This window comes from Homo sapiens, chromosome X (assembly GCF_000001405.40).
Source record: "Homo sapiens chromosome X, GRCh38.p14 Primary Assembly".
NCBI lineage: Eukaryota > Metazoa > Chordata > Mammalia > Primates > Hominidae > Homo > Homo sapiens.
The window spans coordinates 153,063,388-153,083,890 of NC_000023.11; the positions used below are offsets into that span (position 1 = coordinate 153,063,388).

The window sequence follows — 20,503 nt, forward strand, 5'->3', positions numbered from 1 at the left end:
ACTTTGTGAGGTGCTCTGGAGCTCTTTCTTTGCTCATTTCCCTTCTCTTCTGTACAGTGACTGCAAATTCTAGAAACCCCAGTGGCATTCAATTGCACAACTCAGTGAGAATGCCACATGCTGTTTGCATTCTTCCTTTGCTTTGCCATAGACTGTAAGTGCTTCTAAGCTGATATCTGGGCTGATCTTTGGCCCTACATCATTTGTTTCCCTTCTCTCAAAACTTGCAGTCCTGGTGAGCTCTCCACAGCCAAGGCACTCACTCTTTGATGAATGGGGTTGAATGATCTGTAGATATTTGGAGGCTGTAGTGAAAGTTAGTGTGGCTGGGTCCCAGGGTGATGGACAGAGAGGCAAGGAGAAGACAATAGCTCCATAGGGAGGTCAGACAGGGCCACGAAGGGTCTGTAATGCTAAGTACTTTGCTAACAACTTTGGACTTCTGCCCTAGAAGTGCAGCAAGGCACCTGGGTCTTCAGGGAATGACCACTGCCCTGATATTTGTGAAGGATAGGAATGACCTGCTCATGTCTGTGAACTAGAAAAGTCAGCGAGGAAGCAGTGTTAGGGATAGCTTGGAGGGGGCATTCGTATACACCAGAGGTGGCTACAGAGATCGAGATGTTGGCTAAATCCAGGGACTACTGAGTGCTCTCATCTGCTGAGGTTGGAGAGACACCAGAGCCAGGAGACAAGGAGATTTCTGTTGGACAGGGTCTCTTTCCAGTCTTGAGCCACACTTCCCCTTGGGAAACTAGAGTTTTGACTGATCATCAAAAAGCCCCTAGAGGTAGCTCTTGTCAGCTAGCACTACTCACCTTCTTCCCATCCCCCCATCCAAAACTCCAGGCCATGGGGTCACATTGTGTCACAAGAGGGACGGCCTGGGATCTTCCGGAGGCCATGTGCTGCTGGCTGCCTTCTCTCCTCTGAGCTGACACCCTTAAAAGCCTTATTTCTACCAGAAAGTGTGGTATGTCCTCAAGGAGGCACAGTTCAGCCCAGCTCAGTGTGATGGTTAATACTGTCAACTTGATTGGATAGAAGAATATAAAGTATTGTTCCTGGGTGTGTCTGTGAGGGTGTTGCCAAAGGAGATTAACATTTGAGTCAGTGGGCTGGGAAAGGCGGACTCACCCTTAAACTGGGTGGGCACAATGTAATCAGCTGCCATCGAGGTTAGAATATAAGCAGGCAGAAAAATGTGAAAAGAGACACTGGCCTAGCCTGTCAGCCTGCATCTTTCTCCCATGCTGGATGCTTCCTGCCCTTAAACATCGGACTCCAAGTTCTTCAGTTTTGAGACTCAGGCTCTCCTTGCTCCTCAAGCTTACAGACAGCCTATTGTGGGATCTTGTGATCGTGTAAGTTAATACTTAATAAACTCCCACATATATTATATATATATATATATACACACACTTAATAAACTCCCATATATATATATATGGTTATAAACTCCCATATATATATATGGGAGTATAAACACTTAATAAACTCCCATATATATATATATATGTATATGTGTATATATATATAGTTTATATATATGTATATGTATATATAGTTTTTATATATATATGTATATGTGTATATATATATGTATATAGATCCCATTAGTTCTATCCATTTAGAGAACCCTGATATGCTCAGTTCCAACAGACTTTCACAGCATAGGCCCATCCTTCAAGCAGGCAACTTGCTTGCTGTGAGCTATGACTATGAGCTATCCTATTGGTTTGCTCCTAAAGTCTTGCCTACAGGGAAAATTTATTGTGGCATCCCCCAGGGAACTTGATCACTGCCCAGTGCTCACAAACTCATGATTTGAGAAAACCATGGGCATCTTTTTCTTGTGGCTAACTAGACCAACGAGGAAACTATCTTCCACAGAACCAACCAAAAGGACACAGACGAATGGCCTGAACTTCACGGAGCAATTTGGAAGCAGGCAACAGAGAAACACAGCACAGAACACTTATGGGGCCAACTCCAGCCAAACCTTGATATTTCCTTGGCAACCATGGTCCCAAAATTCACTCTGATATGTGATATGAGACACCGTTCAACACACATAGCACCTGGGAAGCCAGGACCCCGGAGTCCTCCAGGAGAGGACAGGGACACGAGTCCCTGGAACCAGGGTGCAGCCATCTGCAGGCTTCTCTCCCAGAAACCGTGGCCCTGCCCCTGAATGCTGGTTGACTGCTGAGTCACCATCCAAACTCCAAAGTCAAAGTGAGGAGGGCCGGCAGGCTCGAGGGCAGAAAGAGCAGGAGCAGGGGCCTCTGACAGGAATCCCTGGACTCCTGGCAGAAAGGGCCAGCCATGCCCAGATGACACTGCCTCCTTGGGAGGAGAGTGAGTGTGCCCCATGGGTTGGAAGAGCCAGTGGCACACACAGGAAGGAAGGGAGCTGGAAGGCAGCTGTGGGAGGAATGATGCTGATGGCATCTAGCTGCAGGCAAGCTCACTGGGAGCAAGCACCGGGCTGAGCTTGCTATGAAGGCCATTTCAATCCCAAACCAAGGCAGAGAGGACTGATCACCAATGCAGTTGTACCCTGAGCCCCATGGAACCACCCAGCCCACTGCCACCGGCCTCCACAACCAATGCCCCACCAACGCTCCTCCAGAGGGACTTGACTTCAATGAGTTGAAGACTGTGCCACAGGCAACCAGCTGTGTCAAGGACCAACGCAGAACAAGCTCACACTTATTCAGCCCAGCAGGACCCTGAGTCTGGGAAGCATGGCGTGCCACATCGGGTTGTCCCTCAGAAAAACCCTGCTAGGTGGGAAGGAGCCACCTGCACCTGTGAGGCTGCGGAGGACAGGCTAGGGGCAGGGCAGGTTGTACGTGCATGTGCATGCGTGCGTGTGCGTGCGTGCGTGCGTGTGTGTGTGTGTGTTTCCGTGTGTGTGTGGGTGGGGCACAGCCAGACAGAAGCTGAGGAAGTACTGCTCCCCCCACCCCAGGTAGGGGCAGCCAGCCAGGGAATGGCAGGGTCATATGGCAGGAGGCAGGTGCTAGCCTGGCAGCCCAAGGACCTGTCGTGGGCTCTGGGCAGGGCAGAGAGCCGTCGGGAGCAGAATCAAAGAGGGCATTGGAGGAAGAAGCTTCTGAGCAGTCAGAGCAGGCCGCGGCCGGTGGGGAGCTGGCCCGAAGCCACAGACTGGGGAGCTTTGGCCCTGCCTGAGGTAGGACGGTAGGGAGGAGCCCCAGGCTCTCCCTGGAGGACACAAGGGGGCCCCCGTTGGCTGTGCAGAGCCTGGGCCCTCGGACATTGTGGTGCACAGCAAAGAAGCCCTTCTTGGTTCAAGAGCAGACAATGCTCCCACTCAACCTGTGGAGGCTGTAAGGGACACGTCCGAGGTCAGCCAGCTGGGAGGCAACCAGGTGGGGAGAAACACACACGGAGACCTCCTCTGCGTCCCGGCCTGCGTTGGAGGCACTCAGCAAGGCTGGCTGTCCTTGGGACTTGTTTCTCAAGAGCCAGTACTACAGCAGGTGCTCTACGGAGGCGTCTGGTCACCAAGCAACCCAGAGCCTTCTGTGAATCTTGATTGCAGCATCTCCAATCAAGTGCCACCTCACAGTACAGTGCTTCCGTGTTTATCCCTTCAGGTGTCCAACATCTGCTGGGCACGCTGGCTCTGTGCAGTGCCTTCTGCTGGCAATCAGGGGGACCAAGCCAAAAAGATGGAAGCCTCTGGGAGCCAAACCAAGCAGGGGCCACCTATACAATTCCTCTACCTTTACCAGGGAGTCTGCCTGCCCACAGGGCAGGGCTGGGTGCTGCGGGGCAGGGTGGGGAGGGACGGGAAGATGGAGAGTGGCAGGCTGGCGGGAGGGAGGAAGAGGGCAGAGCGAATGTCTACCTGGGTGTCACACGAGCCACTTGAATGTGACCACGGCCACAGGAACTCATCCCCATGCCCGTCACCCCTCTTTCCACAAAAGGCAAGAGGAAAGACAACTGCCAGCATGATCCCCATGTCAGACAAGGGTCCTGCCTTCCACCCGGTCCACACACAACAAGGAACCCGGGACCCTGCCTGAGCCCTCCCCGGGCCTTCTCCCTCTCTAGAGCCTGTATCTTCTGCTTTCCCTTAGACCCTCCTTGCCCAGCCCCGGGGTCGGGGGGGCCTGGACTTGGGCTGCAGCCCCCTCGCTGCTCCAGGCTTCCCATCCTGCTGATTAGTTCCCCCAGACGTCTGGCCGGCCGGTCTCAGCATCACCACCTCCTGGCTTCAAACCCATCGGGGCTCCCCACAGCCCTCAGGATAAGGTCCCGGTACCCTGGCAGGCTGGAGCAGGCTGACAGATTCAGGCACTTGCTGGAAAGAAGGCACCGAGAGCCTCCTCTGGGCCACACTCTGTTCTAGGTGCTGGGGATCTCAGGGTAGGAAACGCTGTACTACGGTTTGAACGTTGTGTCCCTGCCAAAATTCATGTTGAAAGTTAGTCCCTAACGCAGCAGTGTTAAGGGGTGAGACCTTTAGGAGGCAATGAGACCATGGGGGCAGAGCCCTCGGGGATGAGAGGAGTCCCTTGTAAAAGGCTGGAAAGCACTAGGTAAGCCCCCTTTTTGCTGTTCCCTCCCCACGACCATGTGAGGACGCAGGCACAAGACACCATCTTGGAAGGAGAGACTGAGCCCCCACCAGATGCTGAACCTACTGGTGCCTTGATCTTGGGCTTCCCAGCCTCCGGAATTGGGAACAAGAAATTTCTGTTCTTTTGTAAGTTTCCCAGTCTCCAGTGCCTTGACTTTGAGCTTCCCAGCCCCCAGAATTGGGAGCAATACATTTCTGTTCTTTGCAAGTTACCCAGTCTCAGGTATTTTGCTATAGCAGTGCAAATGGGCTAGACACACAGGCAAGTCCACTCCACCTTCTGGGGCTCTAGCTTGCCACCTGGGGAGGGAGCCCCTGATACCCAAAAGCAAAGACTCAGACCAGCATTTCTCACGTGCCGACACATGTACTGATGCCGCCAATAAGAATATAAACCGAGGGCACGTGATTTGTGTGTCCCAGCAGAGGGGGCCTATGGGAGGAGGGGACAGTTCAGCTGAGACATGAAGGAGGAGGAGGTGCAGGAGGAGGGGGAGGAGGAGGAATAGGAGGAGGAGGAGGAGGAGGGAGAGGAAGAGCAGGAGGAAGCTGCTGCCACAGAAGGTTCTTGGGCCTGGATGGCTCACACAGAGGAAGGAGGGATGGCAAAGGCCGAAGGTGGGAACAAGCCCTGTGCTTTGGGGCCAGCTGAACAGGCCAGATCGGCAGGAATGTGGTGAGAGGAGCTGGGGGCATGGCAACATGGGGTGGATTTCGGGGAAGGAAGGAGAGCATCAGAGGAAGCCAGATCCCCAGGAGCAGCGTGGGGGGTGCTCTTGACCAGGATGGGGACTTTGAGATTACTCTAAGGAGATGGGGTGCCACAGGGAGGAGCAGGGTCTGGTGGTGTTGCAAAAAGATCACCCTGGCTGCTGAGGGGGTGTTGGTGGAGCAGGGAGGAAGCGGAGTGGAGGCAGGGAGAACAGGAGGCAGGGCGGGCCAAGGACCACGGAGATGAGAAGGGTAGCAGTCTTGGAGCAGAGTCAACAAAATCCAATGATGGGTTAGATTTGGGAGTGAGGAACAAAGGAGAGGGGAGAGAATCTTGGCTGCTTTGTTTGAGTCACCAGGTAGGAGGCAGAGCCCTTTGCACAGAGGGGGAAGCCCGGGGACAGTGTAGGCATGGTGAAGGGGACGAAGCCCTCCGGTTTGAACATCTTAGCTCTGAAATGTCTGCGGGGCATCCACGTGGGCAGATGGATGGGTACGTGCGGAGCTTGGAAGAGAGGTCACGTCCAGAGACAGAGCATTCATCGGAGGTGCCGTATGTCCCAGGGTTGAGGCTGGGAGCCCGCCCCCACCACGCTTAGATCCAGCAAAGTAGGAGGAGGAGGAGGAAGGTCCAAGGGCAGAGAGGCAGGTAGAGAGGGAGGAGGTCAGCCCAAAAGTGGGGTGGGGGAGAGGAAGAAGCTGAGAAAGGAAATGGTTTTGAGAAGGAAGGAGAGTCAACTGTGTTGAGAGGTGGAGACAATGGGGACAGAGGACTGACAAAAGAAAGACAGTTGACGTGTCACAGCCCAGCCTTGCCCGGGGTTGGCGGGGGGCAATGGGTGTCCTGCAGCGTCCTGGACTTGGAGTCAGCAGGTGCAGAAGGAAGGAGAGTGGGAAGAGACAAGGCCGAAAACAGGAAATTAGTTGCGAGCCGGCCGGTGGGCTGGCTGGGCCAGTTGGAGACACCAGACCCACAGATGTTCCCAGGGCGGGGGCGGCCGAGGCGGGGGGGGGGAGGGGGGGGGGGTCGGTGCCCTTTCTGAAGAAGGACTCCAGAAAAATCACGGCTGAAAACAAGAGAGAGGACAATATGTGGTATAAGCCGTGACAAGTCTAACACTAAAGGTTCGATAGACAGACACTCTCACAGCAGAGGTAAAGAGCAGCAGTTTGCCTGAATGAGAACAAGCAGTCTTGGCCCTCAAGGGGGAGAAGCGGTGGGGGGCAGGGGGGCGGGGAGGACTGGACACACGAGCCCAACCGGGGAGGCTGCTTTGTGACAGAAGACATGCGTTTCTTCGCTGACCCCACGTTTACTACCTGGGAGGTAGAAAAGCCTGGGGAGCAAGACCATGCCAACCTAAGTACCACACAGAGAGGGAGCCTCCCTATAAGAATGGTATTCAGAAATAGGCACTGCAGTGGGGACGCGTGCGCCCTAGTGAACTATGTGCATATTCAGGCAGGGGAAGGCAGACAAAGGTTTTTCAGGACAAGTGAAGAGGATTACATAATTGTTTTGACATAATGATCTTTGGCTACAAGGATGAATAACAAGGGTAGCATTGGTCAGGGGCTTGGACAGGAAGTTGCTGGGCAGGTGTCCTCACAGAAGTATTATTTGTGTCAGGTTGCAACAGCCTTTGTGCAAATTTGTGGGTTTTGCAGTCTTCCGTGATAGCTTTTGTTATCAGGCATTCGTGCATGGGAACCCTGCCTAGGTGGCCCTCCACAGCTCTATTTGTCAGGTTTTTGGATTTTTGTTTGCTTGAACAACAAGTGACTCCATCTTGATTCTGAAACCTTTCACAACCATACGGGCAAGCCAAAGTCTAATTGTGAGGCCCACTCCAATGCGACCTGCTTCTGGGCAACGTGATAGACTGGCCATGGCTTATATCACAAAAGGAGAAAGGCTTCGATCTTGACGCTAGGAACTTTCTCCTGGAAACGGGCCGATGACGCCTGTCATCTGCGAGATGAGGAGGAAAGGAGCAAAGGAGATTCACAGAAGAGGAACCAGGAACGGCCAGTGAGAGGATGCACGACCTCGCCACCGCTCGGGGAAACGCAAGGCACACAGCGATGAGGTGGTGTCTCTCCCCGTGGGATGGGCAAGCAGGCGAGGCTGGACAGGACCAAAGGCTGCTCGGGCTGTAGGAACCCAGGACCGCTCCCACGCTGCCAGTGCGAGGGAACATGGGTTCAGCCACGCACCGGAGGTCACAGATGAGCAATGCTTGGTTGTGGCGTTGATAGGCACAGCCCAAGTCCCAGCAGAGCCACTGCCTGCTGTGCACCCCAGAGTCTTTCTGGCTGACGGTGGTGGCTCAGACAGGCATGCGGGATGCCACTGGCAGCAGTGTCTGCAACAGCCAAACAGTGGGAAGGACCGGAATGTCCATCCCCAGGGTCATAGACAAATACTCTGGGGCTGTGATTCAGCAAGGAGCTTGGGCGAGCTGGACGCTTGGGGGAAACCTTGGCCAGCAAGTTGCCAAACAGGAGGTCAGGCAAGGAAAGAGAAGGGGATGAGGGAACGACACCCAGAGGTGTGACCCCGTGGGAACCTGTTTGCCACCTGCCTGGTGGAGATGCTGTTCACATGGCCCCAGCCTCCCATGATGGGTCAGGTGCAGGGTGGTCAGATCCACGGGCGCAGAATCTCTGTTTTGAGCGGAGGCTGCTCTGCCCTGGCGCAGTGTCTAGCCCCGGCAACAGAGGACTGGGGAAGGACCTATGGAAGGCTGACTCAGGCCCTGACAGACGGAGGTCTCCAGGGAGGTACGACACCCATGCTGCCCTCAGGGCCAAGAGAGCAATGTCCCAGAGCCCATCAGGCTGGTGAGGGCACAGGGGGCAGGGGACAAATTGAGTAGCCCACTCCGCGCGGACTACCTTTCCAGGCACACACTCAGGCAGAGACCCAGACTCGGGACTTGCGGCTGCAAAACGGACGAGGCCCGGGCATACTTGGGTGCTGGGTCACCCTCCTAGGTGCTGGCTCCTGGCACCAGGGCAGCAAAGTGCTTCGGCCGGAGGGCTGCGGGTCCCTGAAGCCGGATGGGCAGCGGGGAGATGGCAGACCCTCCGTAGGATGGTGTGCGTGAGCTGCGTGAGCGCCTGGGGCATCTCCTCCACGGAATGGCACCCGCACCAGGTGCCCCTGGCCTCGCCTGGCCTTGCCAGCCAGAGGACCAGTCCTGGACGGGGAGGGGGAGGACAAGAGCAGGTGCACAGGCCCCAGAACCCGGCTCCCTGACCCTGGCCAGAACGCAGAGCTGCCGGACGCACCTCAGACCACTCCCTGGCCCTCTGGTGGGCACGCCGGGGTGCACACCCGTCGCCCCGCTGGCGCCTGCCTCCGGGGCACGTGCGGGAGGGGCAGAGGCCTGGACCAGGAACCGCTGTGGTGAGAGCCAAAGGCGCTGGGACCTGCGGCCCACAGACCTTTGGACACCCCGGTGGGGGTGGGGGTGGGCTGGCGCCTGTGTTCCCGGGACCCGCGGCGCGAGGGGAGTGGGGGTGGGGCTAGGGGATAGGAGCAGGTGACGTCACCCGGGGTCCTGGGGCGCTCGGGAAGGCGGCGAGAGCCAGGCCACGTGACCCGCCCGCGGCAACGGCCCTGCGCTCTCCCGGGCCGGCGACGCGGAGGGGTCCGCGCTGCACCGCCGCCGCACCCCGGCCGCGTGACCGCACTGCAGAGAGCGGCTGCGAGCAGGCGCCTGCGCACCGGCCCAAACGCCGAGCGAGCGAGGGAGAGGCACAGTCAGAGGGAACGCCCGCGCGGGGAGCCAGGGGCGCCCGACCCCGCCGCCGCCGCAGCGGCGCGCAGCCCCCGACGCGCCCTGTGGGGACCCGGACCAGGAGGGACCCTGCCCCGGGAAAAGGTATCAGACCCACCCGGGGAGGGGGACGCTGGGTCCCGGGAGACTCCGCCGCCCCTCGCCTGTCCGCCCTAACAGAACTGAAGCAGCCTGCGGGGCAGCGGTCCGGGGTCCGGGGTCCGGGGTCCGGGGTCCGGGGGCGGCGCGGGGATGAGGCCAAGACCCGCAGGGACCACCCCCCCGGGGGGGCGGGGCGGGACAGGGGCGGGGCCTGGCTGCAGAGGCGCGGCCAGGGGAGGAGGGCGGCTGGGGGTGGGAGTGGACGTGGACGTGGACGTGGGCGTGGGGAGGGGTGGGCATTAACCTCGCTCTCGCCCGCTCGCATTCACAGGCTGTGGAGACCTGGGCTCCGACCCCAGTTCATCCCCCCACACCCCCGCCGCCCCGTGCCACCCTGGTCCGCGCTGGGAACCCTATCCTGCCCCTCGTGTCAGCCCGGCACTGGCCAGAATCGCGGGCATGGCGGTGACCATGCTGCAGGACTGGTGCCGGTGGATGGGGGTCAACGCTCGCAGGGGCCTGCTCATCCTGGGCATCCCGGAGGACTGTGATGATGCCGAATTCCAAGAGTCCCTCGAGGCTGCCCTGAGGCCTATGGGACACTTTACAGTGCTAGGCAAAGCGTTTCGAGAGGAGGATAATGCCACCGCGGCCCTGGTCGAGCTCGACCGGGAAGTCAACTATGCTTTGGTCCCCAGGGAAATCCCCGGCACTGGGGGCCCGTGGAACGTGGTCTTTGTGCCCCGTTGCTCAGGCGAGGAGTTTCTCGGTCTCGGTCGCGTGTTCCACTTCCCGGAGCAAGAGGGGCAGATGGTGGAGAGCGTGGCCGGCGCCCTGGGTGTGGGGCTGCGCAGGGTGTGCTGGCTGCGATCCATCGGTCAGGCGGTCCAGCCCTGGGTGGAGGCCGTGAGGTGCCAGAGCCTGGGCGTGTTTTCCGGGAGGGACCAGCCAGCCCCAGGGGAGGAGTCCTTTGAGGTCTGGCTAGACCACACCACCGAAATGCTGCATGTGTGGCAGGGGGTCTCGGAAAGGGAGAGGAGGAGGAGGCTGCTGGAAGGCTTGCGTGGGACCGCCCTGCAGCTCGTGCACGCGCTCCTGGCGGAGAACCCCGCCAGGACGGCGCAGGACTGTCTGGCGGCCCTGGCCCAGGTGTTTGGAGACAACGAGTCCCAGGCGACCATCCGGGTGAAGTGTCTGACCGCTCAGCAGCAGTCAGGCGAGCGTCTCTCAGCTTTCGTGTTGCGGCTGGAAGTGCTGCTGCAGAAGGCCATGGAGAAGGAGGCCCTGGCCAGAGCATCCGCCGACCGCGTGCGCCTGAGGCAGATGCTCACCAGGGCCCACCTTACTGAGCCTCTGGATGAAGCACTGAGGAAGCTGAGAATGGCCGGGAGGTCTCCAAGTTTCTTGGAGATGCTGGGGCTCGTTCGGGAGTCTGAGGCATGGGAGGCCAGTCTAGCCAGGAGCGTGAGAGCCCAGACACAGGAAGGGGCCGGTGCCCGGGCTGGTGCCCAGGCTGTTGCCAGAGCCAGCACTAAAGTAGAGGCGGTCCCAGGAGGTCCTGGTCGGGAGCCAGAGGGCCTCCTCCAGGCAGGAGGCCAGGAGGCTGAGGAGCTCCTCCAGGAGGGGCTCAAGCCCGTCCTGGAGGAATGTGATAACTAGGTTGGGGCTGGGGAGGCAGCCCAGCGCGAGTCCTCCCCGGGCAAATAGGCTCCGAGGGCCCCGGGGCCTCCTCTCCTCCTCTCAGGCAGCAGGGCCCTGGAGACAGGCGGAGGCGGGGCCAGGGCCGGTCCCTCACCCCACATCGGGATCGGGGCCCCCCACTTCCCCCCAAGGGGCCCTGCCCACCACCACCTTCCCGGTGACCCAGATGACCACATTTAATACCAAATGGGGTGGGGGGAGGCGCCCCTCCAGTGCCAGGGGCACGTGCTGTGAGCTTCCTGGGAGCCCAGGTTGTGCTCACTGCTCTCCCGTATCGTGAGCACCACCTCTGCTTTCCCTGCGTAGATCTAGGCCAGGGGCTGCTTGTTTTTGTGGAGCCGTGTGTGTTCTTCTCTGAGCAGCTCCTCCCCAGAGGACCCCAGCGCAGTCCCGGGAGATGGCGGAAAGAAGGCACCAGGGCACAGTGGACACTCATCCCGTGACAGCGATGGTGACCATGACTGTGGGAGAAAGAACAGGACCCGGGATGGAGTGGGGCTGTCTGAGTTTCCCCAGTGAACTTTGTGCTTTGGCGTTCCACCCCTGTTGTTACTTGTTACTGAGTTTCCTAGACCTGGGGTGGGTGTTCCCCCAGGAGGAGGGGGGTCCCGACCTGTGTCCTGTGGTGGCCATTTGCAGCTTCTGTGTTGTGATTCCCTTCTCTTCAACGGTTTCAGTACATATCTCTCTTCAATAAATTTCATTCAGTGTTCCAGCCGGCCTCGCCTCTGCTGTGGGAAACTGCATGGGGTGCGGGGTGCGGGGTGCAGTGTTGGCTGGGGACAAGGTGAGGTGAGGTGCCACAGTGGCTGGGCTAACATCGGGGTGTGTGGGGTGCTTGGTCCCTGAGGGTCTGTGTGGTCCCCTGGGCTGCACGGGATGGCGTGGTAGTCTTGAGCAGGGGCTGATTGGGTTCCCAGGGCACGCTGATCACCTCCCAGGAGTAGGTGGTTTGGACGTTGCAGACAGGCAGAGGGACAGTAGGCTAGGTCCTGGTATCCAGGATCCCTGACAGCACTGCGGGGTGGGGTGGGGGGGGCGGCGCTCAGGGCTTTCAGAAGGGTCAGAGTGGCCACATGTGTAACCTCAGGCTGGAAGCCAAGGTCAGGGAAGAGCCCCAGGAGGGCCTGGGCATGAAGTCAGAGGCCCACACGGGAGCCATGTGGAGGACTCCGCGGGTGGGGGACCGCTCTTGGGAGACCCAGGCAGCTGACACCCTTGAGAGGGCCTCTTTCCCCCTGCCTCTCCCAACCCAGGACAAGGAGTGGGGGGCAGACATCTTCAGGTGCCCCCACCCAGGCCACAGCTGGCCCCGATCCCGATGTGGGGTGAGGGACCGGCCCTGGCCCGGCCTCCGCCTGTCTCCAGGGCCCTGCTGCCTGAGAGGAGGAGAGGAGGCCCCGGGGCCCTCGGAGCCTATTTGCCCGGGGAGGACTCGCGCTGGGCTGCCTCCCCAGCCCCAACCTAGTTATCACATTCCTCCAGGACGGGCTTGAGCCCCTCCTGGAGGAGCTCCTCAGCCTCCTGGCCTCCTGCCTGGAGGAGGCCCTCTGGCTCCCGACCAGGACCTCCTGGGACCGCCTCTACTTTAGTGCTGGCTCTGGCAACAGCCTGGGCACCAGCCCGGGCACCGGCCCCTTCCTGTGTCTGGGCTCTCACGCTCCTGGCTAGACTGGCCTCCCATGCCTCAGACTCCCGAACGAGCCCCAGCATCTCCAAGAAACTTGGAGACCTCCCGGCCATTCTCAGCTTCCTCAGTGCTTCATCCAGAGGCTCAGTAAGGTGGGCCCTGGTGAGCATCTGCCTCAGGCGCACGCGGTCGGCGGATGCTCTGGCCAGGGCCTCCTTCTCCATGGCCTTCTGCAGCAGCACTTCCAGCCGCAACACGAAAGCTGAGAGACGCTCGCCTGACTGCTGCTGAGCGGTCAGACACTTCACCCGGATGGTCGCCTGGGACTCGTTGTCTCCAAACACCTGGGCCAGGGCCGCCAGACAGTCCTGCGCCGTCCTGGCGGGGTTCTCCGCCAGGAGCGCGTGCACGAGCTGCAGGGCGGTCCCACGCAAGCCTTCCAGCAGCCTCCTCCTCCTCTCCCTTTCCGAGACCCCCTGCCACACATGCAGCATTTCGGTGGTGTGGTCTAGCCAGACCTCAAAGGACTCCTCCCCTGGGGCTGGCTGGTCCCTCCCGGAAAACACACCCAGGCTCTGGCACCTCACGGCCTCCACCCAGGGCTGGACCGCCTGACCGATGGATCGCAGCCAGCACACCCTGCGCAGCCCCACACCCAGGGCGCCGGCCACGCTCTCCACCATCTGCCCCTCTTGCTCCGGGAAGTGGAACACGCGACCGAGACCGAGAAACTCCTCGCCTGAGCAACGGGGCACAAAGACCACGTTCCACGGGCCCCCAGTGCCGGGGATTTCCCTGGGGACCAAAGCATAGTTGACTTCCCGGTCGAGCTCGACCAGGGCCGCGGTGGCATTATCCTCCTCTCGAAACGCTTTGCCTAGCACTGTAAAGTGTCCCATAGGCCTCAGGGCAGCCTCGAGGGACTCTTGGAATTCGGCATCATCACAGTCCTCCGGGATGCCCAGGATGAGCAGGCCCCTGCGAGCGTTGACCCCCATCCACCGGCACCAGTCCTGCAGCATGGTCACCGCCATGCCCGCGATTCTGGCCAGTGCCGGGCTGACACGAGGGGCAGGATAGGGTTCCCAGCGCGGACCAGGGTGGCACGGGGCGGCGGGGGTGTGGGGGGATGAACTGGGGTCGGAGCCCAGGTCTCCACAGCCTGTGAATGCGAGCGGGCGAGAGCGAGGTTAATGCCCACCCCTCCCCACGCCCACGTCCACGTCCACGTCCACTCCCACCCCCAGCCGCCCTCCTCCCCTGGCCGCGCCTCTGCAGCCAGGCCCCGCCCCTGTCCCGCCCCGCCCCCCCGGGGGGGTGGTCCCTGCGGGTCTTGGCCTCATCCCCGCGCCGCCCCCGGACCCCGGACCCCGGACCCCGGACCCCGGACCGCTGCCCCGCAGGCTGCTTCAGTTCTGTTAGGGCGGACAGGCGAGGGGCGGCGGAGTCTCCCGGGACCCAGCGTCCCCCTCCCCGGGTGGGTCTGATACCTTTTCCCGGGGCAGGGTCCCTCCTGGTCCGGGTCCCCACAGGGCGCGTCGGGGGCTGCGCGCCGCTGCGGCGGCGGCGGGGTCGGGCGCCCCTGGCTCCCCGCGCGGGCGTTCCCTCTGACTGTGCCTCTCCCTCGCTCGCTCGGCGTTTGGGCCGGTGCGCAGGCGCCTGCTCGCAGCCGCTCTCTGCAGTGCGGTCACGCGGCCGGGGTGCGGCGGCGGTGCAGCGCGGACCCCTCCGCGTCGCCGGCCCGGGAGAGCGCAGGGCCGTTGCCGCGGGCGGGTCACGTGGCCTGGCTCTCGCCGCCTTCCCGAGCGCCCCAGGACCCCGGGTGACGTCACCTGCTCCTATCCCCTAGCCCCACCCCCACTCCCCTCGCGCCGCGGGTCCCGGGAACACAGGCGCCAGCCCACCCCCACCCCCACCGGGGTGTCCAAAGGTCTGTGGGCCGCAGGTCCCAGCGCCTTTGGCTCTCACCACAGCGGTTCCTGGTCCAGGCCTCTGCCCCTCCCGCACGTGCCCCGGAGGCAGGCGCCAGCGGGGCGACGGGTGTGCACCCCGGCGTGCCCACCAGAGGGCCAGGGAGTGGTCTGAGGTGCGTCCGGCAGCTCTGCGTTCTGGCCAGGGTCAGGGAGCCGGGTTCTGGGGCCTGTGCACCTGCTCTTGTCCTCCCCCTCCCCGTCCAGGACTGGTCCTCTGGCTGGCAAGGCCAGGCGAGGCCAGGGGCACCTGGTGCGGGTGCCATTCCGTGGAGGAGATGCCCCAGGCGCTCACGCAGCTCACGCACACCATCCTACGGAGGGTCTGCCATCTCCCCGCTGCCCATCCGGCTTCAGGGACCCGCAGCCCTCCGGCCGAAGCACTTTGCTGCCCTGGTGCCAGGAGCCAGCACCTAGGAGGGTGACCCAGCACCCAAGTATGCCCGGGCCTCGTCCGTTTTGCAGCCGCAAGTCCCGAGTCTGGGTCTCTGCCTGAGTGTGTGCCTGGAAAGGTAGTCCGCGCGGAGTGGGCTACTCAATTTGTCCCCTGCCCCCTGTGCCCTCACCAGCCTGATGGGCTCTGGGACATTGCTCTCTTGGCCCTGAGGGCAGCATGGGTGTCGTACCTCCCTGGAGACCTCCGTCTGTCAGGGCCTGAGTCAGCCTTCCATAGGTCCTTCCCCAGTCCTCTGTTGCCGGGGCTAGACACTGCGCCAGGGCAGAGCAGCCTCCGCTCAAAACAGAGATTCTGCGCCCGTGGATCTGACCACCCTGCACCTGACCCATCATGGGAGGCTGGGGCCATGTGAACAGCATCTCCACCAGGCAGGTGGCAAACAGGTTCCCACGGGGTCACACCTCTGGGTGTCGTTCCCTCATCCCCTTCTCTTTCCTTGCCTGACCTCCTGTTTGGCAACTTGCTGGCCAAGGTTTCCCCCAAGCGTCCAGCTCGCCCAAGCTCCTTGCTGAATCACAGCCCCAGAGTATTTGTCTATGACCCTGGGGATGGACATTCCGGTCCTTCCCACTGTTTGGCTGTTGCAGACACTGCTGCCAGTGGCATCCCGCATGCCTGTCTGAGCCACCACCGTCAGCCAGAAAGACTCTGGGGTGCACAGCAGGCAGTGGCTCTGCTGGGACTTGGGCTGTGCCTATCAACGCCACAACCAAGCATTGCTCATCTGTGACCTCCGGTGCGTGGCTGAACCCATGTTCCCTCGCACTGGCAGCGTGGGAGCGGTCCTGGGTTCCTACAGCCCGAGCAGCCTTTGGTCCTGTCCAGCCTCGCCTGCTTGCCCATCCCACGGGGAGAGACACCACCTCATCGCTGTGTGCCTTGCGTTTCCCCGAGCGGTGGCGAGGTCGTGCATCCTCTCACTGGCCGTTCCTGGTTCCTCTTCTGTGAATCTCCTTTGCTCCTTTCCTCCTCATCTCGCAGATGACAGGCGTCATTGGCCCGTTTCCAGGAGAAAGTTCCTAGCGTCAAGATCGAAGCCTTTCTCCTTTTGTGATATAAGCCATGGCCAGTCTATCACGTTGCCCAGAAGCAGGTCGCATTGGAGTGGGCCTCACAATTAGACTTTGGCTTGCCCGTATGGTTGTGAAAGGTTTCAGAATCAAGATGGAGTCACTTGTTGTTCAAGCAAACAAAAATCCAAAAACCTGACAAATAGAGCTGTGGAGGGCCACCTAGGCAGGGTTCCCATGCACGAATGCCTGATAACAAAAGCTATCACGGAAGACTGCAAAACCCACAAATTTGCACAAAGGCTGTTGCAACCTGACACAAATAATACTTCTGTGAGGACACCTGCCCAGCAACTTCCTGTCCAAGCCCCTGACCAATGCTACCCTTGTTATTCATCCTTGTAGCCAAAGATCATTATGTCAAAACAATTATGTAATCCTCTTCACTTGTCCTGAAAAACCTTTGTCTGCCTTCCCCTGCCTGAATATGCACATAGTTCACTAGGGCGCACGCGTCCCCACTGCAGTGCCTATTTCTGAATACCATTCTTATAGGGAGGCTCCCTCTCTGTGTGGTACTTAGGTTGGCATGGTCTTGCTCCCCAGGCTTTTCTACCTCCCAGGTAGTAAACGTGGGGTCAGCGAAGAAACGCATGTCTTCTGTCACAAAGCAGCCTCCCCGGTTGGGCTCGTGTGTCCAGTCCTCCCCGCCCCCCTGCCCCCCACCGCTTCTCCCCCTTGAGGGCCAAGACTGCTTGTTCTCATTCAGGCAAACTGCTGCTCTTTACCTCTGCTGTGAGAGTGTCTGTCTATCGAACCTTTAGTGTTAGACTTGTCACGGCTTATACCACATATTGTCCTCTCTCTTGTTTTCAGCCGTGATTTTTCTGGAGTCCTTCTTCAGAAAGGGCACCGACCCCCCCCCCCTCCCCCCCCCCCGCCTCGGCCGCCCCCGCCCTGGGAACATCTGTGGGTCTGGTGTCTCCAACTGGCCCAGCCAGCCCACCGGCCGGCTCGCAACTAATTTCCTGTTTTCGGCCTTGTCTCTTCCCACTCTCCTTCCTTCTGCACCTGCTGACTCCAAGTCCAGGACGCTGCAGGACACCCATTGCCCCCCGCCAACCCCGGGCAAGGCTGGGCTGTGACACGTCAACTGTCTTTCTTTTGTCAGTCCTCTGTCCCCATTGTCTCCACCTCTCAACACAGTTGACTCTCCTTCCTTCTCAAAACCATTTCCTTTCTCAGCTTCTTCCTCTCCCCCACCCCACTTTTGGGCTGACCTCCTCCCTCTCTACCTGCCTCTCTGCCCTTGGACCTTCCTCCTCCTCCTCCTACTTTGCTGGATCTAAGCGTGGTGGGGGCGGGCTCCCAGCCTCAACCCTGGGACATACGGCACCTCCGATGAATGCTCTGTCTCTGGACGTGACCTCTCTTCCAAGCTCCGCACGTACCCATCCATCTGCCCACGTGGATGCCCCGCAGACATTTCAGAGCTAAGATGTTCAAACCGGAGGGCTTCGTCCCCTTCACCATGCCTACACTGTCCCCGGGCTTCCCCCTCTGTGCAAAGGGCTCTGCCTCCTACCTGGTGACTCAAACAAAGCAGCCAAGATTCTCTCCCCTCTCCTTTGTTCCTCACTCCCAAATCTAACCCATCATTGGATTTTGTTGACTCTGCTCCAAGACTGCTACCCTTCTCATCTCCGTGGTCCTTGGCCCGCCCTGCCTCCTGTTCTCCCTGCCTCCACTCCGCTTCCTCCCTGCTCCACCAACACCCCCTCAGCAGCCAGGGTGATCTTTTTGCAACACCACCAGACCCTGCTCCTCCCTGTGGCACCCCATCTCCTTAGAGTAATCTCAAAGTCCCCATCCTGGTCAAGAGCACCCCCCACGCTGCTCCTGGGGATCTGGCTTCCTCTGATGCTCTCCTTCCTTCCCCGAAATCCACCCCATGTTGCCATGCCCCCAGCTCCTCTCACCACATTCCTGCCGATCTGGCCTGTTCAGCTGGCCCCAAAGCACAGGGCTTGTTCCCACCTTCGGCCTTTGCCATCCCTCCTTCCTCTGTGTGAGCCATCCAGGCCCAAGAACCTTCTGTGGCAGCAGCTTCCTCCTGCTCTTCCTCTCCCTCCTCCTCCTCCTCCTCCTATTCCTCCTCCTCCCCCTCCTCCTCCTCCCCCTCCTCCTGCACCTCCTCCTCCTTCATGTCTCAGCTGAACTGTCCCCTCCTCCCATAGGCCCCCTCTGCTGGGACACACAAATCACGTGCCCTCGGTTTATATTCTTATTGGCGGCATCAGTACATGTGTCGGCACGTGAGAAATGCTGGTCTGAGTCTTTGCTTTTGGGTATCAGGGGCTCCCTCCCCAGGTGGCAAGCTAGAGCCCCAGAAGGTGGGGTGGACTTGCCTGTGTGTCTAGCCCATTTGCACTGCTATAGCAAAATACCTGAGACTGGGTAACTTGCAAAGAACAGAAATGTATTGCTCCCAATTCTGGGGGCTGGGAAGCTCAAAGTCAAGGCACTGGAGACTGGGAAACTTACAAAAGAACAGAAATTTCTTGTTCCCAATTCCGGAGGCTGGGAAGCCCAAGATCAAGGCACCAGTAGGTTCAGCATCTGGTGGGGGCTCAGTCTCTCCTTCCAAGATGGTGTCTTGTGCCTGTGTCCTCACATGGTCGTGGGGAGGGAACAGCAAAAAGGGGGCTTACCTAGTGCTTTCCAGCCTTTTACAAGGGACTCCTCTCATCCCCGAGGGCTCTGCCCCCATGGTCTCATTGCCTCCTAAAGGTCTCACCCCTTAACACTGCTGCGTTAGGGACTAACTTTCAACATGAATTTTGGCAGGGACACAACGTTCAAACCGTAGTACAGCGTTTCCTACCCTGAGATCCCCAGCACCTAGAACAGAGTGTGGCCCAGAGGAGGCTCTCGGTGCCTTCTTTCCAGCAAGTGCCTGAATCTGTCAGCCTGCTCCAGCCTGCCAGGGTACCGGGACCTTATCCTGAGGGCTGTGGGGAGCCCCGATGGGTTTGAAGCCAGGAGGTGGTGATGCTGAGACCGGCCGGCCAGACGTCTGGGGGAACTAATCAGCAGGATGGGAAGCCTGGAGCAGCGAGGGGGCTGCAGCCCAAGTCCAGGCCCCCCCGACCCCGGGGCTGGGCAAGGAGGGTCTAAGGGAAAGCAGAAGATACAGGCTCTAGAGAGGGAGAAGGCCCGGGGAGGGCTCAGGCAGGGTCCCGGGTTCCTTGTTGTGTGTGGACCGGGTGGAAGGCAGGACCCTTGTCTGACATGGGGATCATGCTGGCAGTTGTCTTTCCTCTTGCCTTTTGTGGAAAGAGGGGTGACGGGCATGGGGATGAGTTCCTGTGGCCGTGGTCACATTCAAGTGGCTCGTGTGACACCCAGGTAGACATTCGCTCTGCCCTCTTCCTCCCTCCCGCCAGCCTGCCACTCTCCATCTTCCCGTCCCTCCCCACCCTGCCCTGCAGCACCCAGCCCTGCCCTGTGGGCAGGCAGACTCCCTGGTAAAGGTAGAGGAATTGTATAGGTGGCCCCTGCTTGGTTTGGCTCCCAGAGGCTTCCATCTTTTTGGCTTGGTCCCCCTGATTGCCAGCAGAAGGCACTGCACAGAGCCAGCGTGCCCAGCAGATGTTGGACACCTGAAGGGATAAACACGGAAGCACTGTACTGTGAGGTGGCACTTGATTGGAGATGCTGCAATCAAGATTCACAGAAGGCTCTGGGTTGCTTGGTGACCAGACGCCTCCGTAGAGCACCTGCTGTAGTACTGGCTCTTGAGAAACAAGTCCCAAGGACAGCCAGCCTTGCTGAGTGCCTCCAACGCAGGCCGGGACGCAGAGGAGGTCTCCGTGTGTGTTTCTCCCCACCTGGTTGCCTCCCAGCTGGCTGACCTCGGACGTGTCCCTTACAGCCTCCACAGGTTGAGTGGGAGCATTGTCTGCTCTTGAACCAAGAAGGGCTTCTTTGCTGTGCACCACAATGTCCGAGGGCCCAGGCTCTGCACAGCCAACGGGGGCCCCCTTGTGTCCTCCAGGGAGAGCCTGGGGCTCCTCCCTACCGTCCTACCTCAGGCAGGGCCAAAGCTCCCCAGTCTGTGGCTTCGGGCCAGCTCCCCACCGGCCGCGGCCTGCTCTGACTGCTCAGAAGCTTCTTCCTCCAATGCCCTCTTTGATTCTGCTCCCGACGGCTCTCTGCCCTGCCCAGAGCCCACGACAGGCCCTTGGGCTGCCAGGCTAGCACCTGCCTCCTGCCATATGACCCTGCCATTCCCTGGCTGGCTGCCCCTACCTGGGGTGGGGGGAGCAGTACTTCCTCAGCTTCTGTCTGGCTGTGCCCCACCCACACACACACTGAAACACACACACACACACACACACACGCACGCACGCACGCACACGCACGCATGCACATGCACGTACAACCTGCCCTGCCCCTAGCCTGTCCTCCGCAGCCTCACAGGTGCAGGTGGCTCCTTCCCACCTAGCAGGGTTTTTCT

General features: G+C 60.0%; 1 protein-coding gene and 1 pseudogene across 1 annotated transcript; one reads left to right on the forward strand and one right to left on the reverse strand.

The window, feature by feature from the left end:
- PNMA6A (PNMA family member 6A) lies at positions 9,067-11,632 on the forward strand. The gene is made up of 2 exons (NM_032882.6): positions 9,067-9,219; positions 9,548-11,632. Exon 2 carries the CDS (start codon positions 9,676-9,678, stop codon positions 10,873-10,875), a length of 1,200 nt encoding a protein of 399 aa, NP_116271.3. The 5' UTR covers positions 9,067-9,219; positions 9,548-9,675; the 3' UTR covers positions 10,876-11,632.
- Positions 12,226-14,230, reverse strand: PNMA6B (PNMA family member 6B (pseudogene); annotated as a pseudogene).

Bases quoted from the DNA above. Each gene is read 5' to 3' on its own strand.
- PNMA6A (NM_032882.6), top strand. From the start codon at position 9,676: ATGGCGGTGACCATGCTGCAGGACTGGTGCCGGTGGATGGGGGTCAAC.